Raw genomic sequence first — 19,352 nt, 5'->3', positions numbered from 1 at the left:
TATATTGTCAAGAAATCTGACTTTCACTACTGAGAAATTATTAAATTCTCAAACATTAGAGCTGTAAAAAACTCAAAGTCATCTTTTCTAGTCCTTTAATTTTTCAGATAAAGACCCAGAGACTCAGGGTAAAAGAAATGTAACTGGCTATGCTCAGATTTTATAACATTATAAAAGCCACACTGGTAATTGATAGAGAGATGTAATCTACAGAAAATTTAATTGCCAAATGGAAAATTCCCAGAGGATTTTTAGACCAACTTTGCCCTGTTGCATTCCCAGTTTGGTCCCAATATAGGCCTTCTGCAAGAAGAGATCAATGCCGAACCGAACTGTGAAAGCATGAACAATCCCGGCCCAGATTAATTATTTGGCTTTGTCCGTGAGCACACAGTAGGTACATTAGACAACAGATGTGTCATATCACCCCGACTGCAAGGACCAGATTTTGAGGTACACCATAGACATCTGGGGATGTTCAAACCGATGTGCCAAAGGAGAAAACATTTCAGAAGTGTCGACACATTTGAGGGAACAGACAAGTCAAACTTCAAGGTGAAGTATGGGCTGTCAGCTATCTCCAGGTTGTAAATACACAATGACCTCAATCTGTGCATTGTTAACTGGGGGAGAGAAGTGTGCAGGGGTTATTATTACATAATAAGGATTCTGCCCTGTGGCGTATGTCATGTGCTTTGGTTCTGTTGATGAAACTTGTAATTCCCAGTCTGCTTCCAGCTGGTGAAGTCTCCACACATCCATCAGGCTGCTCTAATTCCCACTATATTACTATGTGTTTGAACTGTTTGCTCCTTCGAACCTTGGCTTATTTCATCTTTCATGGAATCATTCCCAGGAGTTTCAATATGGGAGTCATCAATGAAAATAAACAGAGTCACAGAAACAGATGCCTTGTCCATGAGCACACAGTAGATACCTTAGATAACAGATGTTATCACATCAGCCCAACTGCAAGGACCAGATTATGAGGTACACCACAGACATCTGGGGATGCTCAAACCTAAGTGCCAAAAGCTAAAACATTCCAGAAGTATGGATACATTTGCTGTCTCCCATCTTTCTTTAAATTTTGCCCATAATCAAGGTCCCTCCAAAATTCTTCTTTCCTCATGAAGCTATCTATCACTTCATGGTCCAACGCACCGTTATGTTACTCTTTTCTTTAGTCTACACATGCATTTTTTTCATTGCTGTGCACTTGGACTCACTTGAAGATGATAACAAAATAAGGATGGGACCCAGGCAGCCCTTGGAAGTTTGCTCTGTGAAAGAGGATCAAGTAGATATTCCCTGGCAGGCTTGTTTACTGATGGTGTCTGCTGGGCCAATGCAATTAATTTGCAGCCTGGAAACAGCAGGTCTGTAGTTCTCACTCCAGGAGCCCCTGTCTACTGGAAGATTGGCTCCCTTGATGATGGCATTGCCTTGACTCTTCTCAAAGTCATAACTTTGACCTTCAGCTTTATCTTATCTCATCAATTCAAATTGCCTGGCCTAAGAAGTATTCTTAGTAGTTTCAATTGAAAGATCTCTTACCCCAAACTCTAAAAGTTACTTTAAATAAGAACTTTATGGACACTTTGGTCTTATATCCTTTCCTTAGAACAAACCAAAAGCTATGTTCAGTTCATCTAGCCTATGAGCTGCTCATGGTAGACTGGAACCACTTCCTTTCTCTCTAGTTTTCTAATTTGCAGTTTCCAAACTTTATTTGTAACCATTCGTGTATCATTATAGGGAGAACTATTTAGGTTTTGACAGATTAAATCTGAGAATCTTATAGTATTTAATATGACTTTGAAGAGATGGATCAGGTAGCCATGTATAACTCAAGTGGTGAGTCCAGGTCTTATACCTCAGGTAGGTAAGACTGGATGAGAGACAGGGTGATAGCATAAAGATGGCAGTTTCTAGTGAGAGGCAGCAGGTACTCCCGAAACAGCCAAGTCTCAGCCTGCTAAATGAGGCTGTATGAGAAAAATGATAATTGTCTTCAATTCCTCTCACCTTCCCTTTTATCTGTTTTTCCTTATGGTTCAATCAACCCTCCTCTAGGTCTTGTGTACTCTCCATCTCTCTACTATTACTTCCATCAAAACTCCCGCCAGCACTGCCCCCAACAAAAATGCTCCCTGGCATTCAGCGATACATGAGAAGGTAGTTTATCAACTATAATTTGCATTAGCTTAATGCACTGCCCTCCCATATAAGCAAAGCCTTACTTTATTGAAATAAACCTACTAAGAGTGAAGAATAAGGTATCACAAAAATATCAAACTCATGAGAGATACTTGGGGTATCATACTGTAGACTGACAATTCTCAGTCTGGAGGCTCAGGGGTGCTTTATAGCAATACAGATATTAACGCCTCCATGCCCCATTGCTGAGTTAAGAATCACTGGGAGGCCAGGTGTGGTGGCTTATGCCTGTAATCCCAGTGCTTTGGGATGCCAAGCCAGGAGGATCACTTGAGGCCAGGAGTTCAAGACCAGACTGGGCAACATAACAAGACCCTGTCCTTACAAAAAAAATTTTTTTTAATTAACCAAGTGTGGTGGCATGCACCTGTAGTCCCAGCTACTCAGGAGGCTAAGGCGGCAGGATATTTTAAACCCAGGAGTTCAAGGCTGCAGTGAGCTAGGATCATGCTGCTGCACTCCAGCCTAGGTGACAGGGTGAGACCCTATCTCTTAAAAAAAAATTCACCATGTAACATGAGACATGTTTGAAGAGAACACATCACCTATATAAACATGTAACTATTGTGGAAATCTGAGGTCTACTGATGCAAATAACCACCTTTATAAAAGGGAAGGAAATGGAGTGCCTCTTATGGGTCAAGCTAGGTATTTCTCTCATCCAATCCTTATCCCATAAGGTGGTATCATTTTGACCCTAGCACCATCACCATCACCATTTTATAGAGGAGAAAATATGTTCTGAGAGGTTACGTAACTCACCCAGGATCACATAGCCAACAGGTTAACCAGAATTCAAACCCAAATCTATCATCACAACCCACACTATTTCTGAAAGAGTATAAGAATGTGCAAAATTGCTACATAAGGTTTAAAACATTGTATGAATATTGACAATCATATTCTTATTTGTATCGAAATATGAGGATTTGTTGGGAGGTTCAGCTTCATAAGATCTTCAGCCATCTGTGAGGAGGATGGTTCCTCTCCCTGGAGGAGACAGCAATGACTGCTCAATTACGCTTAGGCCTTCTCTGATGCACAAACGGACTGGCAGTGACAGTGCAAGCCTCTTCCTAGCTCACTGTGAGGACACTGCCTTGTGCTCACGCATCTCCTTGGAGCTATCCTTCAAGGCTTCACATGTAGTCTGTAATCTGATGAGGCAGAAATCCCTTTACCAGATGATGCAAAATGTTTCCTGAGACCAGATTATGTGTTCCTTGTTGTTGGCCTCAAGTATACCTGGAAAGAACAGATTTAATTATTAAATCCTCCTGAGTCTACTAATGTTGAGAATAGATTACATATGGTTCTAGCCTCTTTGCCATGACCCACCACACTGCTTTTATATAGTCAAATCTATCAATAATTTCTATTTTGGTTTCTATCTTTATATTTAAGTACTTCCCTTAGTACTTAGGCCTTCTGTAGCCCTCAATTATACAAAAAATTAATCTTTACATTTTAATGCTTCCATGTTTTATTTTTAACATTTAAATATTTAATCCAATCTGAAATTAATTTTTTGTATATTCTGAGAAGAATTAAGTATTATTTTTTCAAGTGATTTTATAATACCATTTGTTAATTTATCCTTACCCTCACTGACTTTTTAAAATATTTTATTATATGTATTTTTCTTACATATACTTGTATCTGTTTCTGAACTTTTGATAACCTTTGAGACCTACAGTTTTAGCCAGCATATACAGAAAGGAAAATGCTATGTGCACATACATTCACCCAGCCATTCCCTGGAGATGGGTAAGAAAGAACAAAATAGAGGAAAAAATTAGAAATTATTAGTGAATAATCAAAAAGGATTTCTCAGTTTAATAAATAAACACTTGTAAGAAGTCTTCCTGGTGTAAATTAGGGTATTACCATTCTCCTTTAATGAACAAGGAGCAAACGGGTAGATACAATCTGGATAAAGATACACAAGTGTCAGGGAATTCTTGTGTCCATTAAACTTCTCTCCCCACCTCATCCATTTATGAGCCAGAGTATTCTACTTACCTACTTTCAGGGTCAAGCCTGAGCATACTCTGAACAGAGTTCCTGCTTGGGCAAAATTTATATTAGCAGTGCCTGTCTAAATAGTACCTACTTCATCTAGTAACTGTGACAATTAAATGAGATAATTCATAAAAAGCAGTTATTACATTGCCTGCCTGTATTAGTCTGCTAGGGCTACCATCACAAAATATCACAGATTGGGTGGCTTAAACAATAGACATTTATTTCTCACAGTTCTGGAGCCTGGAAGTCTAGGATCAAGTGTCAGCAGATTTGGCTTCTCCTGAGGCCTCTCTGTCTTGTAGACAGCTGCCTTCTTGCTGTGTACTCACAGCATTTTCTCTGTGTGTGTGCACTCCTGATGTCGCTCCCTTTTCTTTTTCTTTTTTTCCACTGAGGCATTTTATTTGTAAGTATGTATCACATCCTTAGAAAAAGAATCCCAGGATTTTCCCTCCTGTATGTTTTTGTCTTACTTCTTTGTGGTCCATGATGCCAGCTTAGATTGTCAGTACAATGACACCAAACTGGCGAGATGGGAGCAGATTTGTCTGCCATTTTTCTAGATCTTTGAGTTGCACATCAAATCTGGGCCTGATCACTCCATACTTGTTTAACCTGCCTGTGAGGTTCACAGCAGTTTTCCCAGCTCTGTGATCATCAGCGATTTCAAATTTGCCAATGTAACCATGCTTCATCAACACAGTTAGAAACCAGATGATGACTTTGGAGCATAGCCTAATAAGAACCTGGCATTTGCCTCCTTTTCCAGTGTTGATGTTCTTGAGAGCATCAGCCAGGGCGTTCATGCATTCCATTATGGCAGCATGTAGAGATGGCGGAAGGAGGATGGGAAGGGAGGGCACATGGAGTTCCCCTTTTGAGGACACCCACCATACTGGATTTGGGCCCACCCAAATGACCTCATTTGACCCTAATTGCCTTTTTAAAGGCTGTATCTTCAAATAGAGTCATGTTCTGAGGTATCCTGGAGGTCAGGAATTTAACATATAAATCTGGGGTGGGGCGGGGGCACAGTTCCATCCATAACATGGGCATATATGAAGGAACTAATAAAAATTAGCTATTATTAAGTACGTGTGGTGGTCAGAGCGAATGAACATCAAGGAACCACAAAAGAAAAAACATGAACTTTGCTTTTTTCCCTCCATTTGACCAAGAATAGATGTTTAATGCTTGAACAGCTGCGGCACAACAGAAAGTCTTGTCCAAATAGCTACTGATAGCAAACCAGGCCAGAGGACACTTAAAAACTAGAGCACAATGGCTCAGCAGGTAGATGCTGTTAAGGGAACAGAATTGGCTAATGGCCTCCCCAAACCACAGGTTACTATTTTAAATGTTACAAAAGACCATAGATCATGAAAAGATAAAAAATAAACCAGTGTGGGTCCAATCTTCAAAGGAGGAGAATTGAGTGATAAAGGGGCAGTTTGTCTCCATGTGACTAAACTAAATTGCTGAGTGCTAGGGATGTTTTTAGGCTAGAGGTAGATTACAATCTTTTCTGTCCTGGGGCTCTCAGGATAGAAACCGGTGTGTGTGTGTGTGTGTGTGTGTGTGTGTGTGTTTTCTTTCCTTCACCCTTAACTTTTTGTAGTCCTTGAAGACTGAAAACACCTGTGTGCTGGCCAGTCAGGCAAAAGGGATACAGACACATTTACTTCTAGAGCTACGTAGTGTAAACATAAAAGAGGGCTTTTCTGGGGAAACACAATCAGATTTCAAGGAGCAGGGTAATCTCTGGGCCCTTATAGCACTTAGGCTGGGTATAGCTGTACTGGACTCATCAGGTTCAAGTGTTCCAGTAGAGAGTGACCCTTCCCCACAGTAATGGTCTATATTATATTTGCAGGAAAAGTAGGCAACCATGATGCTATGCAAGCCCTCAGTTGAAGAAATAGCCCTGTTGGAAATTGGAACCCCCAATGCTCAGGAGCTGTTATTAGGTTGTTCTTCCAAGGACTTCCAGGGCCTTTCAGATGTATATCTGCTCAGATAAAGAAAAGGAATAATCCCACCTCCCGAACAGCCATTGTAGGAGGGTCAGGCAATCCTCCCTACATACAAATGTCATTGAACTATTGATCAGCTGAAACTGCAACACAAAGGGTGACCACATGGGTGTGGCCACATGTGCATGTTGCCAGCTCCCTGCCAGGTATGGGAAGAAGAGGCCTGCAGGACTCTGCCCAGATTTGCATTATCGCTCAGGTGAACAATTGCCCCAGACTCTCAACTAGTCTTCCTGCCTTCATACTTCCAATTAGTGATCCAAGAACTACCCCCTACCCCCCACCCCACCCCCCACCCTTTTTTTTTCTTTGAGACGGAGTTTTGCTCTTGTTGCCCAGGCTGGAGTGCAATGGCGCGATCTCGGCTCACCGCAACCTCCGCCTCCCAGGTTCAAGCGATTCTCCTGCCTCAGCCTCCCAAGTAGCTGGGATTACAGGTGTCCACTGCCATGCCTGGCTAATTTTTTGTATATTTAGTAGAGGCGGGGGTTTCACCATGTTGGCCAGGCTGGTCTCAAACTCCTGACCTCAGGTGATCTGCCTGCTTCAGCCTCTCAAAGTGCTGGGATTACAGGCATGAGCCACCACCCCTGCCCGAGAACCACCCCTTTAAGGGATAATACAAAAATACAAGTAATTTGCTTCAGGAAGAGGAGAGCAAGCATTCATTACGCCTGCAGGTTCAAAACAGAAGAGTGATCAAGTTGAGAAATAAACAATTCTTTCCCAGGTCAATGTGTCATGGTGCGGTGGTTTGATCCAATAATTCTGGCAAAGTCCTATGCATGTTCTTGAGAGAAGGTGGGAAGATTGTCTTGATTGGAGCTGGGAAGACAGAGAGAAAATGGCCACTCACCTAGTGGGTTAAATAAGCCAAGAATCCTTTAGGACTGAAAATAGGTGATTCTCAGCTTTCTTTAATTAATGTGCAAAAGAACTTGGGTATGTACATAAGCTAAAAATTATTGACGATTTTTAATTTATGGAGAAAATAATTACTCCTAAATCCACCTCCCTAATAATGATCAAAATGTGTATGCTTTAGTCCTCATCCGTTTGCATACATATTTTGAAAAGCTGTGATCATAGCCTTTGTCTTGAATAAATGTATATTATTACATACCCAAATATTTGCTAATTTAGAAAACAATGGATTTACCAATTCCATCCATTTCACTTGAGAAATTTTCCATCTGGAGTACATCTTTCATTAGACAATAGTTCCTGCTGTTGAGGGCTGAAGTTGCAGCCTGGGTTATACCTCACACTTTTATACAAAAGGAAAGGTGTAGAATATGGTAAGGAGTGGTAGATTTTAAATGATGGACGCTAGATACAGGAGAAATGCCTGGACTCAAGAAAACAAAAAAAAAAAGAACATCTTACTTTCATGGCACATCCTGGCTTATATTAAAATCACCCTTAAAATGGGGCTAATAATGCCTACTTTAAAGGGCTTTTTGAGGAATAAATGATGGGAAATTGCACTGTAAACTGCAAGAAAAACAAAAAAAAAACAAAAACAAACAAAAAACATGATACATATGTAAGGTAGAACTGTTAGTATCACTCATGAGTCTGTTTCTCTTGCTAAACTCCAAATTCCTGAAAAACCATTCCCTTACTTTTCATCTTTGTACCATCCCCACTCTCCCCGACTTCCCACCTCCTACCGCACCTCCTGCAGAGTAAGACAGAGGCAGAAACAGCTCTTTTGGAGCTGAGAGAAACAACCAACCAATTTTTTCTAGGACTGTCAGGGATATTTCACCCAGAGTTTTACATGGCTAATGCGATCTAGGAGCTATTTTCAATATTTTATAAAAGTCTAACCTGAAATTATGCTGTTGTCATCAGTAAAGCTTTACAAACCAAATAAAACATCAAAGTTTTCTTTTTCCCCCCTTTTTCTTGTTTTTTCCTTCCTTTCGAATGGGGTTATATAAAGCAACTATGCATTTTATTGAAAAATCAATTATTACTTTAATAAATATTGTGAGATGCCCTGTCATAGTTTCAGAGGACAAAGAATGAATAAGATAAATCATAATCCTTGCTTTTAAGGAACTCATAGTGCAGTGAAAACAGACAAGTTTAATGTACACGTATAATATTGTATGACAAGGACAATAATAAGAACAATTACAATAAAGGAAATATATATGAGAGTCTTAACGCAGACTTTAGTGGGGTTAGGTGATCATGAAAGGCTTCCTGGAGGGAGTGAAACTTTAAAAGACCCCTGGGAGTTATCTAGGCAAAGGCTGTGTGTGAAGGACAAAGTGGGAGGCCAGACAATATGTTCCCTGCAGAGGGAGAAATATATGCAAATATCTAGAAGTGAAAGAAAACATGTTACCAAGAAACTGTGGTTCCATAGGACCCCAGTATAGAACTGGAGTACAGGAATGGGTAGAGAGAGGGTGTGGGGAAGTATGGCATTTTCCCCTTTTTTTTTTTTGAGACAGAGTCTCGCTCTGTCGCCCAGGCTGGAGTGCAGTGGTGCGATCTCAGCTCACTGCAACCTCCACCTCCCAGGTTCAAGCGATTCTCTCACCTCAGCCTCCTGAGTAGCTGGGATTACAGGCACCAGCTACCACGCTCACTTAATTTTTGTATTTTTAGTAGAGATGGAATTTCGCCATGTTGGCCAGGCTGGTCTCAAACTCCTGACCTTGTGATCCACCTGCCTCAGCCTCCCAAAGTGCTGGGATTACAGGCATGAGCCACCGTGCCCAGCCTTTCCCCAACTATCATTTGGAAAAATTTCACACCTAGAAAACATTTGAAAAAATAAATGCAAAGAACATTTATGTTTGCTTCACCTAGATAATACACACACGTACACACACATATGTACACACACACACACACACACACACACACACACAGAGAGAAATGAATTGGCAAAAAGGTTAACATCTGGTGATTAGTTGGTGGTAGAGATTTCTTTTTTTCTTTTTTCTTTTTCTTTTTTCTTTCTTTCTTTCTTTTTTTTTTTTTTTTGAGAAGGAGTTTCACTCTTGTTGCCCAGGCTGGAGTGCAATGGCACGAACTTGGCTCACTGCAAACTCCACCTCCTGGGTTCAAGCGATTCTCTTGCCTCAGTCACCCGAGTAGCTGGGATTACAGGTGCATGCCACCACACCTGGCTGATTTTTGTGTTATCAGTAGAGACAGGGTTTCACCATGTTGTCCAGGCTGGTCTCATACTCCTGACCTCAGGTGACCCACCCACCTCAGCCTCCCAAAATGGTGGGATTACAGGCAAGAGCCACCGCACCCGGCCAGTGGTAGAGATTTCTAACACTCCTCAGATACTTCCTTCCCACTAATCTGCAAATGTAAATCTTTCTATACTTTCATCTATTTTATACATTTTTCCCTCCTTAGGAAACTTTGGAGATTGATAGTTCATTAAAAAGTTCCATTGTTATGTGCACACACTCTAAGAATATCTAGTGTAGATAAACCAGTGTTAGTCAGCCTTTCATGACCAACCCCCTAAGGAACAATTTTAGACTCTTTTTTTTCCTAATCACCCCTCAGGAAACTTTAATCTATCTATCTATCATCTATCTATCTAGCTGTCTGTCTGTCTATCTATCTACCTATCTATCTATCTATCTATCTATCTATCTCTGGTTTTGTACTACATATATATCTGTGCTTTGTACACTAAAAGAGAAAGAGCTGGGGATAGTGGTGTGCACCTGTAGTCCCAGCTACTTGGGAGGCTGAGGCAGGAGAATTGCTTGAGCCCAGGAGTTCAAGGCTGCAGTGAGCTATAATTGTGCCACTGCACTCCAGCCTGAGTGACACAGTAACCTCCCATCTAAAATAAAAAATGTTTTTTAAAAGTAGGATTTTTTTTAACAATCCAAGAACCAAGTTCTGTCCATTTAGGGGCAATATTGCTCCCACTTAGAATGTCTGAGATAAACAGATCTAACATAAAGAAGGAATAAATCAGAATATAATAGAATGAACTCCTATTACAATTAGTTTTTAGAAAGAATATTAATATAGTAATAACATATACACGTAAGATAAGTTGTAAATTTTCTAATGGAAAACTGCTTGATTTTGCTGTGAACCTAAAACTGCTCTAAAAATAGTCTATACCTTAAAAGCTATAAAAATAAAAATATATCATATATATTATCATTTCAACATGCAATTCATATAAAACATTATTAACGAGATATTTTACATTCTTTTTTTCCATAATGAATCTTCCAAAACCAGTGTGCATTTTCCACTTACAGCATTGTCTTAATTTGGACCAAACACATTTGAAGTCCTCATATTGGACAACACAGGTCTAGAGCAATGGCAGTACCAAAGGTGGCTTGGAGGGACTTTACCCACCTAGACTCTTCCTACCTCACAATCTCTATCAGCATTGCTCCAGGCCACACTAGATGCATATATCAAAAAGTGCTTTACTCTGCAAATGCAGCTTCCAAACAAGTCTCTGAGCCTTTTTTCCACCCAGAGTGTTGCTTCTCAGCTCCTCAAACACAGAGATTCACCCGGCCCTCCCCAGTCCAGTGCTCCAGACAGTACTGTTCCAAAGATTTTCTTGACGGGATTCTGCCTAAAAGAGGGGCACGGAACACTGAAGAATAGAAGGGCTTTTATTACTTCAGAATTTCCTGAAGACATCATATACTCCTCATTAATAATAGGAGAAGGAGCTTTCAGGTCCTGAACACTGTGCAAAAAAGTGAAAAATTTACTAAAATGCAGTGCAGATTTAAATGCCATCTAGAAAATAGGTACTTAAGAAAAAAATAGTTGCTGTCAATATAGAAATAAATACCTAGGCTTTGCCCTAGTTGGTGGGGATTATTTATATTTCCTTGCATCTAGGAACATTTTTTTTTTTAATATTTCCTAGCAACATTCCTGGAACTAATGTATAGACCTCTCTGTATGCCATGATATATTATAACCTACTCATCCTCTAAATATTATTATCACGACATGGGCACACTTTAGCTCAGAAAAGTTAGTTGTCATTTGAATTAGAAAAGGCACTACATTAAATCATAGTCTGCCCTTATATATTCATCATTTTCAGGTTTTATCACTCAGAGAAGTGAGGAAAAAATGGCATTTATTTGCTTACCATTTTCAACAGCTCTTCCAAAAGAAGGGAAAGAAAGATAAAAAGTGGACGGACTATAAAATAAAAACAGACACAGTCTCACAGAATTCTGCAGAGAAAACTGCATGGCATGAGGTGGAATGCACGTTTAAGTTTAATTTATAGTCACAAAATTATTATTGCCTAACTCCCCCGTGAGTCCTTTGGAACAAAGGAGGAAACATTAAATATTTAAAAATTAGGGCTGGGCATGGTGGCTCAGGCCTGTAATCCCAGCACTTTGGGAGGTTGAGGCAGGTGGATCACCTGAGGTCAGGAATTCGAGAGCAGCCTGACCAACATGGCAAAACCCTGTCTCTACTAAAAACGCAAAAATTAGCCAGGTGTGGTGGTGTGCGCCTGTAGTTCCAGCTACTTGGGAGGCTGAGACAAGAGAATTGCTTGAACTCGGCAGAGGTTGCAGTGAGCCAAGATTGCGCCACTGCACTCCAGCCTGGGCAACAGTGCGAGACTCCATCTCTAAATAAATACATAAATAAATTTAAATAACATTGGTAAAATGTTATATGGCATATATAATCTTATGTGGCATTTTTTAAATTAAGAGGTCTTCATGGAAAATTCAAAATATTTTCCATCTTTACATCAAAACCTTTATAAATTAAGTATCTAATATTTTAATATAATTTAATAATATGACATGATATCTGGTATTTCCTTTGAAAACCTCCAGCAGAGAAAACAACATAAAAGTTGGGGAAGTATATTAAACAAGAGTGACAGAATGCTGTAACTGGTGATGTTGAGTGAGGGGTACTTAGGGGTTATTTATACTTTTCCCTATGCTTGTATATATCATATATCTGAAGTTTCCCAAATAAAAAAGTTTAAAAATTATTGATGATAAATTTTAAAATATGTGGGTATTTTTAATTAAAAAAATTATTAACTGGTTGTCTCTGACTCGAGGCCTGGCACGGGAGATTTACTATTTACTTATATTCTTGTAAATTGTTTGCATGTTTTTATCAGATACATTATTTACTCAAGAAAAAGTATATGTATATATGTATGTATACACACACATACCATACACACACACACACACACACACACACCAGTATTTTGGTACTGTACTTACTGCCTGAGGATACGGGTTATGCATTTAACTTCTCAGTTGCTTGCCCTTAGGTAAGTTGGGTAAGTTACTTCTGAGCATTCTTATGGAAGAATAACATTTAAATGAGGTAATGCATTTGAAAATATCCAGCACAGTGTCTGGCATAATACTGGCGTTCACTTAGTGCTGGTTTAAATTATATTAAATATGTGGAGAAACTAGATTTAATATAGGAGGCAGGCCTACCCCTAATATTTGAGTGGCCATGAGCAAGAGGACAAACAGGGGCATCCAGCCCATGGCCTGTTCTCATCTTTCTCCATCCTACCAGAGGCCCTTGCATATGTGTGTGGACACTCCAACAGGCTTGATCAAGTTCCACCATCCCCAAAAGCTGTCCTTTCACCACTCCTGAGGCCTAAGTGTGTGCACACTTACCCTGCAGTCTACAACTGCATGGGCCTGGGAGTGGGCTTCTGGCTATTTGTCAAAGAATTTTGGGCTTGTAGGTGGCTGGAACCTAGTCTGAAGGAGGTGAGGGTGGGGTGGTGAGGGGAGAGATGTACTCTTGGAATTCCTTGGCCCATGGGAAGAGGTGTGGCTGGAGAAGGGCCAGGATGGGTTCTTTCAAAGCAAAGGGTCCAGGCAAGTGCCACAGGCATCTGAATCGAAAAGCAGTACTGATTCAAGACAAAGTATTATATTGAACCACTCAATGGAGTGGGAGTCAGAAGACATGGATTCTTGCCCTAATTCTGCCAGTAATGTCATACGTGACCTTAAATCAGTGTCTTTACCTTGCTGCACCTCAATTTTCTCATATATTCATTTAATAAATATTTATTGAGCTCCAACTATGAGCGAGACATCCAACTAGACACTGAGGATATACAGAAAACTCAACAGATTGCCCTCATTGACTTAGCATTCTGACAGAGAGCAAGATAACTGGGGCAAACATATTCCAAACGAAGGGCCCCTTCTAAACCAAAACTTTCCATTCAAAATCAATCTTTAAAGTTGTCATGTTTAATAAGTACTAGTAATGAAAGAATCCTAAAAGGAAAAAAGTGTTAAATTATAATGCAATATTATCAAGAGCCTTTTATGATCAATTCTCTAACACAGCAGCATGAGCACTGTACTAATTTTAATCACAAGCATTATTGCCAAATGCAGCACGAAACTCAATCTCTAAAATGTGCCATTTTCTTACTGTTACTCATTTTACTTATGAATATTTTATATGGAAGATAAATTTATGTAAAAATAATATAATCACAACACATTTATCCACATTTTAAAAATAAAATACATTAACAGAATGTAGCAGGTAATTTTTAAAACATGTATTTCAAACAACATTAATATTGAGCTCTGTTATGTAATAAACATAAACAAGGGAGTTCAGAGAAACAGATGAATAAAGTGTAAATGTCTAAGAACCGCTTATATTTATATCAGACCAACTAAGATTGGGTGCAGCTTCCTGTCTTACTACATCAACTACAGATTGTTTGGGGTCATGACAGACAATCGATCAGACAACTAGGAGTCAATTGAGAAGAGCTAAGGAGTCTGTCTTGGATAAAACAGTACAGAATTTTTTTCTAAAAGGATAGTTGTTAATAATGGAACTGATATCTTGTGTACTTCTAGTTTGACCTAAAAGCAGTTACACAAGGAGAGTTCCAAAGCTCACATTATTCTAGCTGTTTCCTTCTTACCTTCTCAAAGTTGAAGAGTTGCCCATTTTCACAAAATGTCAATGATAAGGGACTATTTATACTTGTTAGATCTCACAACTAGAGTCTTCTCGGGTAGAGTGAACTTTTAGATAAAAATAAAAACACCCAGCATGCAGTGTGCCCTGGAGTCTATGCAACCTAGCCCTCTCTTCTCTGTCCGTCTTGGTTCAAAATAAATAAAATAGAACAAAGGAAGCTGAGTTTTATTCATAGTATAGCGTTTTTATTGAGCTGTTTCCACTAGATGGCACTAAAGATTCTGTGTTTCAGGAATCAGGCCCTTTTAAAAAAGAAAATCAGAAGACAAAAATGATCTGTCTGAAATAAACAATAAATTTCTCCAGTCATCTGTCCTAATGATCAGTTTCTTAGAAATGAAACATGAATCTTGGCCATTTATTCACTATCAAACATTTATTAAACCATATTAAGTTTCAGACACTGTGCCCAGTATTAAGGATGCAGAAACAGGACAAGGTCCCTTGTGCTTAAGAGTTCCCAGTGTGGAAGAGGAGGGGAACAGTGAGAACAGAGGGCTGAATCAGACAAGCGAGTAGAAAATTGAAATGCAGAATGTTAAAGACTTGATAGAGATCATCACAGTACCACGGGTAACACACAGAGGGATGCCTAATGAAGACTTGGTGAATGGAGGATTCCTAAAGAAGTTGATGTCTAAACTGAGCTTTGAAGAATGGGTTGGAATTCATTAGGCAAAGAAGAGTGGGCAGAGTGTCCGAAGCAGAATAAGTAGTAGCTTGTATAATCATAAAAGAAGGCTGAAGCCCAGTGTGCATGCTTGGGTTTGGATGGGGCAGTGCAAGAAATGAGGTTGACTGGGCTGGCAGAGGCAGGGTCATGGGAAACCATATATACATATGAGATTATATATATCACTCTAAGACATATGGAGTTTTATCCTGAAGGCACCTCCTACTCCTCTCCCCCTAGTTCATTCTGATTTTGTCACACTGGCCTCCTCACTGTTGCTCAAACATGAGTAGGCACATTCCTCTCTCAGCAAGCACTAACTCTTCCCTCATCTGAACTACCTTTTCCCCATGGGTCCCTCCTTCACCTTTAAGTGTTTGCTCAAATATCACCTTCTCAATAATACTTATCCTGACCACTCCAGTTATATTGCAACACCCTCATCCTGCACTGGATGCTCCTCACTCTGCTTAATTTTTCTCCATAGCATTCTCACATTCTAACATACTGTATAGTTTCTGCAGTTATTATATTTATTCTTTTTTTTTTTTTTTTTGAGACAGAATCTCGCTTTGTCACCCAAGCTGGAGTACAGTGGTATGATCTCCGCTCACTGCAGCCTCCGTCTCCCGGGCTCAAGTGATTCTCCTGCCTCAGCATCCCGAGTAGCTGGGATTACAAACATGCACTACCATGCCCAGCTAATTTTTGTATTTTTAGTAGAGACGGAGTTTCGCCATGTTGGCCAGTGATCTCAAGTGATTCGCCCACCTCAGTCTCCCAAAGTTCTGGGATTACAGGCATGAGCCACCGTGCCCAGCATATTTATTGTTTATTGGCTGCTTTCCCCTACTAGAAGGTAAGTTCCACGAGAGCAGGAATTTTTGCTTGTTTTAACAATACATCTCTGGTGCCTGGCACATAGTCAAAAGTCCTTGCTGTCAAGGAACTTATTATTTTAGTAGGGAGTAAGTTGTGAAGACATTTGGGAAAATCATATTCCAGGTACTCAAAGGATATTAAATGAGTAAACATAGGCATGGAAGAGCTACCAAAGAGCATGATCAAACTGGAATTGCAAAAAGATCCCTAACAGGATTATAGAGAATGAATTGAAAACAGGGAGTGAATTCAGAGATGATGGAGGTAATAATATAGTAAAAAGAGCCCCCATGTAACAAGTGGGCTCATGGTTTATAAATCACCTCCAAATCCCACATCAATCAAGGGAGGATGAAAAGGTTAAAAAAGAAGAAGAAGAAGAAGAAAGAAGAAAAGAAGAAGAAGAAGAAGAAGAAGAAGAAGAAGAAGAAGAAGAGGAGGAGGAGGAGGAGGAGGAAGACGAGGAAGAGGAAGAAGAAGCCACCAGCGTAGTGGCTCATGCCTGTAATCCCAGCACTTTGGGAGGCCAAGGCAGGTGGATCACCAGAGGTTGGGAGTTCAAGACCACCCTGACCAACATAGTGAAGCAGTGTCCTGTAGAGAAAAAGAGAAGTGGTCAGAGCGGCAGGAGGTAGAAGAAAAATCAAGAATAGCATATGGTAACTGAGGAAGAAGAAAGTTTCAAGAAGAAAGTTGTCAGTGTCAGACCAGGCGCAGTGGCTAATGCCTATAATCCGAGCACTTTGGAAGGCTAAGGCTGGAGGATCACTTGAGCCCAGGAGTTCAAGACTAGCCTGGGCAACATGGTGAGACCTCATTGCTACAAAAATAAAAATATTAGCTGGGCATAGTGGCACACACATATAATCCCAGCTACTTGGGAAGCTAAGGTGGGAGGATCGCTTGAGTCCAGGAGATTGAGGCTGCAGTGAGCTGTGATCACACCACTGCACTGCAGCCTGGGCAATAGAGTGAGACCCTGTCTCAAACAAGAAAAACAAACTGAAACAAAAAACTGTCAGTGTTAAAAGCTATAGTGAATTCAGTTAGTTAAAAACTGAAAAGTATCCAATGGATTTAGCAAATATGAAATTATTGGTAACTTTGGCAAAGGCAAGTTCAGAGGAATGGTGAGAGCAAATGCCAGATTGCGCTGTGTTTAGGAGTAAAATGCAAGGGAAGAAGAGATGCAAATGTAGACTATTCTTGTCAAGCAGCTTGGCTATAAAGAAGTAGAGAGGGATTGGGAGCTAGAGAGGGGCATAGGGTAGAAGGAGAGACTGAAGCATGGACATGAGCGGAAAGAAAGATCCACCAGAAAGAAGATAAAGACAGAAGAGAGAGGAGGCAGGCAGGGCTGAACTTCAGAGCACAGGTCCCAGGAGAAAGGAGTCTCCTTCCTTTGAAGGAAAGAAGGAAGGATGGTGACAGAGACAGATGGAATGGTGAAAGATAAGTCTGACAGAACTCTCTGGTCCCTTTCCATATATCCACTCAATGTCTGATGGTAATGATCAAGCATAGTGCCCAAACCAGCCTTGCCTGATTTCCTGATGGGTCATTCTCCCTTCCTGGCTTTCTTGCCTTCAATATCTTCCCTGTCTTGGGCAAACAGGTGTGGGCTGAAAGTCTTGTAGACACTTTCATGAACGCTGGTCACTTTCATCAGTCCTGTTCCTCTCATCCCATGACTATTGCTTCCCCAGACAGATGAAGCAATGTGTGAGCATGGAAGAAGACACCGAACTAATTCTGAGAAAGGAGCATCCTTAACAAATCCTCTCTCGTCCTGTGATGTCACCCCATATCACTTATGGTCTGCACTATCCATAAAACTCTTGGTTGAAGGTGGTCCTGTTTGTCCTCCCATTACTTGAGATCACCATTCTCTCCTTCATCAATAACAGGTCTTTATTAAATGACTACTGTCTAGGTTGCCAAGATTTTCCATCTTAACAGAGAGAGTATACATGTATGTATGTGATATATATAGTGTGTAAATATATACACATATGTAAATATATACACATGCATATATATACACACATAATAAATAAAAACAATACCACAAGGTAGCACAAACTGCAAAGTGAATAATATAGGCAAAACAGCATTAGGCTTGAATCTGGAGCCCTGAAATAAGAGAAAGCTTCAAGGGGGTAGTGTGAAGTAGGGCTTTCATAGAAGGAAGGGTAGGTTTAAATAATAAAGGAAGGAGAATGTTGCCGACAACTTGGCAAACACCAAGAAACGTGCTTGGCAATGTTTAGGGAATAACTAAACAAGCAGTTTTATGAATCTATTGAAGAATGCAGATATTATCCTACAAAAATGGGGAGCTACTGAAAGTTTTAGAATGAAGACTGACTTGTATCATGTTTTTATATGTTTTTACAATTAATTTGGAAGAACTGTGTAGATCAAAAAAAATAAAGGGCAGGGATAATTCAGACACTATTGTAATACTTAAGGTGAGGGTGATAAAGAGCTATAGCATCTTAAAAAGTGTATGCAGTGAGGTGTTGGCAGTGGGGATGGAAAGAAATCGGTGTCTGCCTGGATATGGAACAAGAGAAAGGAGGCCAGCAGCACTATAAGGTTTCATGCAGGAGGGAAAGGAGAATGATGATACTCTGGAGAGAATCAAATAGGAAAATTCAGAGAGTGCAGTTCAGTGAGCAAAGAAGTTCAGTGAAGTTTAAGCTATGTGGGACTTGGTGATAGGAACATATTTGAGTGCAGATTTAGAAATCTATGTCAAAAGCTCAGGGGAGACATCAGTACTGGAAGCGTTGGTCTGGGAATCATCCACGTGAGGAAATGTAGACGCAAAGGTAGGAGATAAAGTGGAGGAAGGGGAACTAGTGAGGATGGAGGGTGTGAGAAGCAGCCCAAGAGACAGAAGGTTAGGAGAGTAGAGTATTTCAGAAGTCAAGGAGGAGGCAAGTTTTAAGGATGAGGAAGTACAAAAAATGGTAAATACTAAAGAGATTGCCTATTGAGAAAAGGCCAGCAATATGGTCACTCATGATCTACAAGAAAGTCTCAATAGGAAAGAGGGGAGGAATAAATCGGTGGTGATGGTTATAAAAAGATGATGAAAGCAGACAGTGAGACCACCCTTTTGAGAAATATAGGGGCGAGAACCACCACTATTAATACGTTGAAGGGGAGCTAGATCAAAAGACGATTTGCTTCCCCTTTCAGGACTTCATCAGAACTCTTGGCAGAAAAACTGACTGAAACATAGGAATAAGGTTTTGAGGAAGCAGGAGAGGTTGGGATAAAAAACAAAAATCTTGAGGAACTAATCTTGGCACTAAAGAATGGCAGTCAGGAGAGGTAAGAGAGGAGGTGTGAGGAATCATGGATTTTTTAAGTAGAAAGGCGAGGCAGTTCTTCAGACAACCTTGTTTTTCTCATCAATGGAAGGGAATTAGCTGCAGCATGTGTGAGGGATTTGATGCTTAATAAACTGAGAAAGGAAAGGTAGAGGTGGC

At 40.2% G+C, this 19,352-nt stretch overlaps 1 long non-coding RNA gene and 1 pseudogene across 1 annotated transcript, besides 1 other annotated feature; both read right to left on the bottom strand.

Annotated features, from left to right (window-relative positions):
• Positions 1-78: 78 nt before the first annotated feature.
• On the bottom strand, positions 79-14,509 carry LOC124904387 (uncharacterized). The gene is made up of 2 exons (XR_007066500.1): positions 14,239-14,509; positions 79-3,465 (listed from the first exon to the last, which is right to left on the bottom strand). It is a non-coding gene; the product is annotated as an uncharacterized LOC124904387 (long non-coding RNA).
• Positions 3,307-3,507: a silencer, noted in NCBI's record as "peak386 fragment used in MPRA reporter construct". NCBI's record gives its function as "represses an SCP1 promoter by STARR-seq MPRAs in K562 erythroleukemia cells {active_cell/tissue: K562}" and the evidence as "EXISTENCE:reporter gene assay evidence [ECO:0000049][PMID:32103011]".
• Positions 4,632-5,115, bottom strand: RPS15AP9 (ribosomal protein S15a pseudogene 9; annotated as a pseudogene).

The sequence above is a fragment of the Homo sapiens genome, chromosome 1 (assembly GCF_000001405.40).
Source record: "Homo sapiens chromosome 1, GRCh38.p14 Primary Assembly".
NCBI classification, from domain to species: Eukaryota; Metazoa; Chordata; class Mammalia; order Primates; family Hominidae; genus Homo; species Homo sapiens.
Note: the sequence above shows the minus strand (reverse complement) of the source record. Positions and strands in the feature narration are given on the sequence as shown.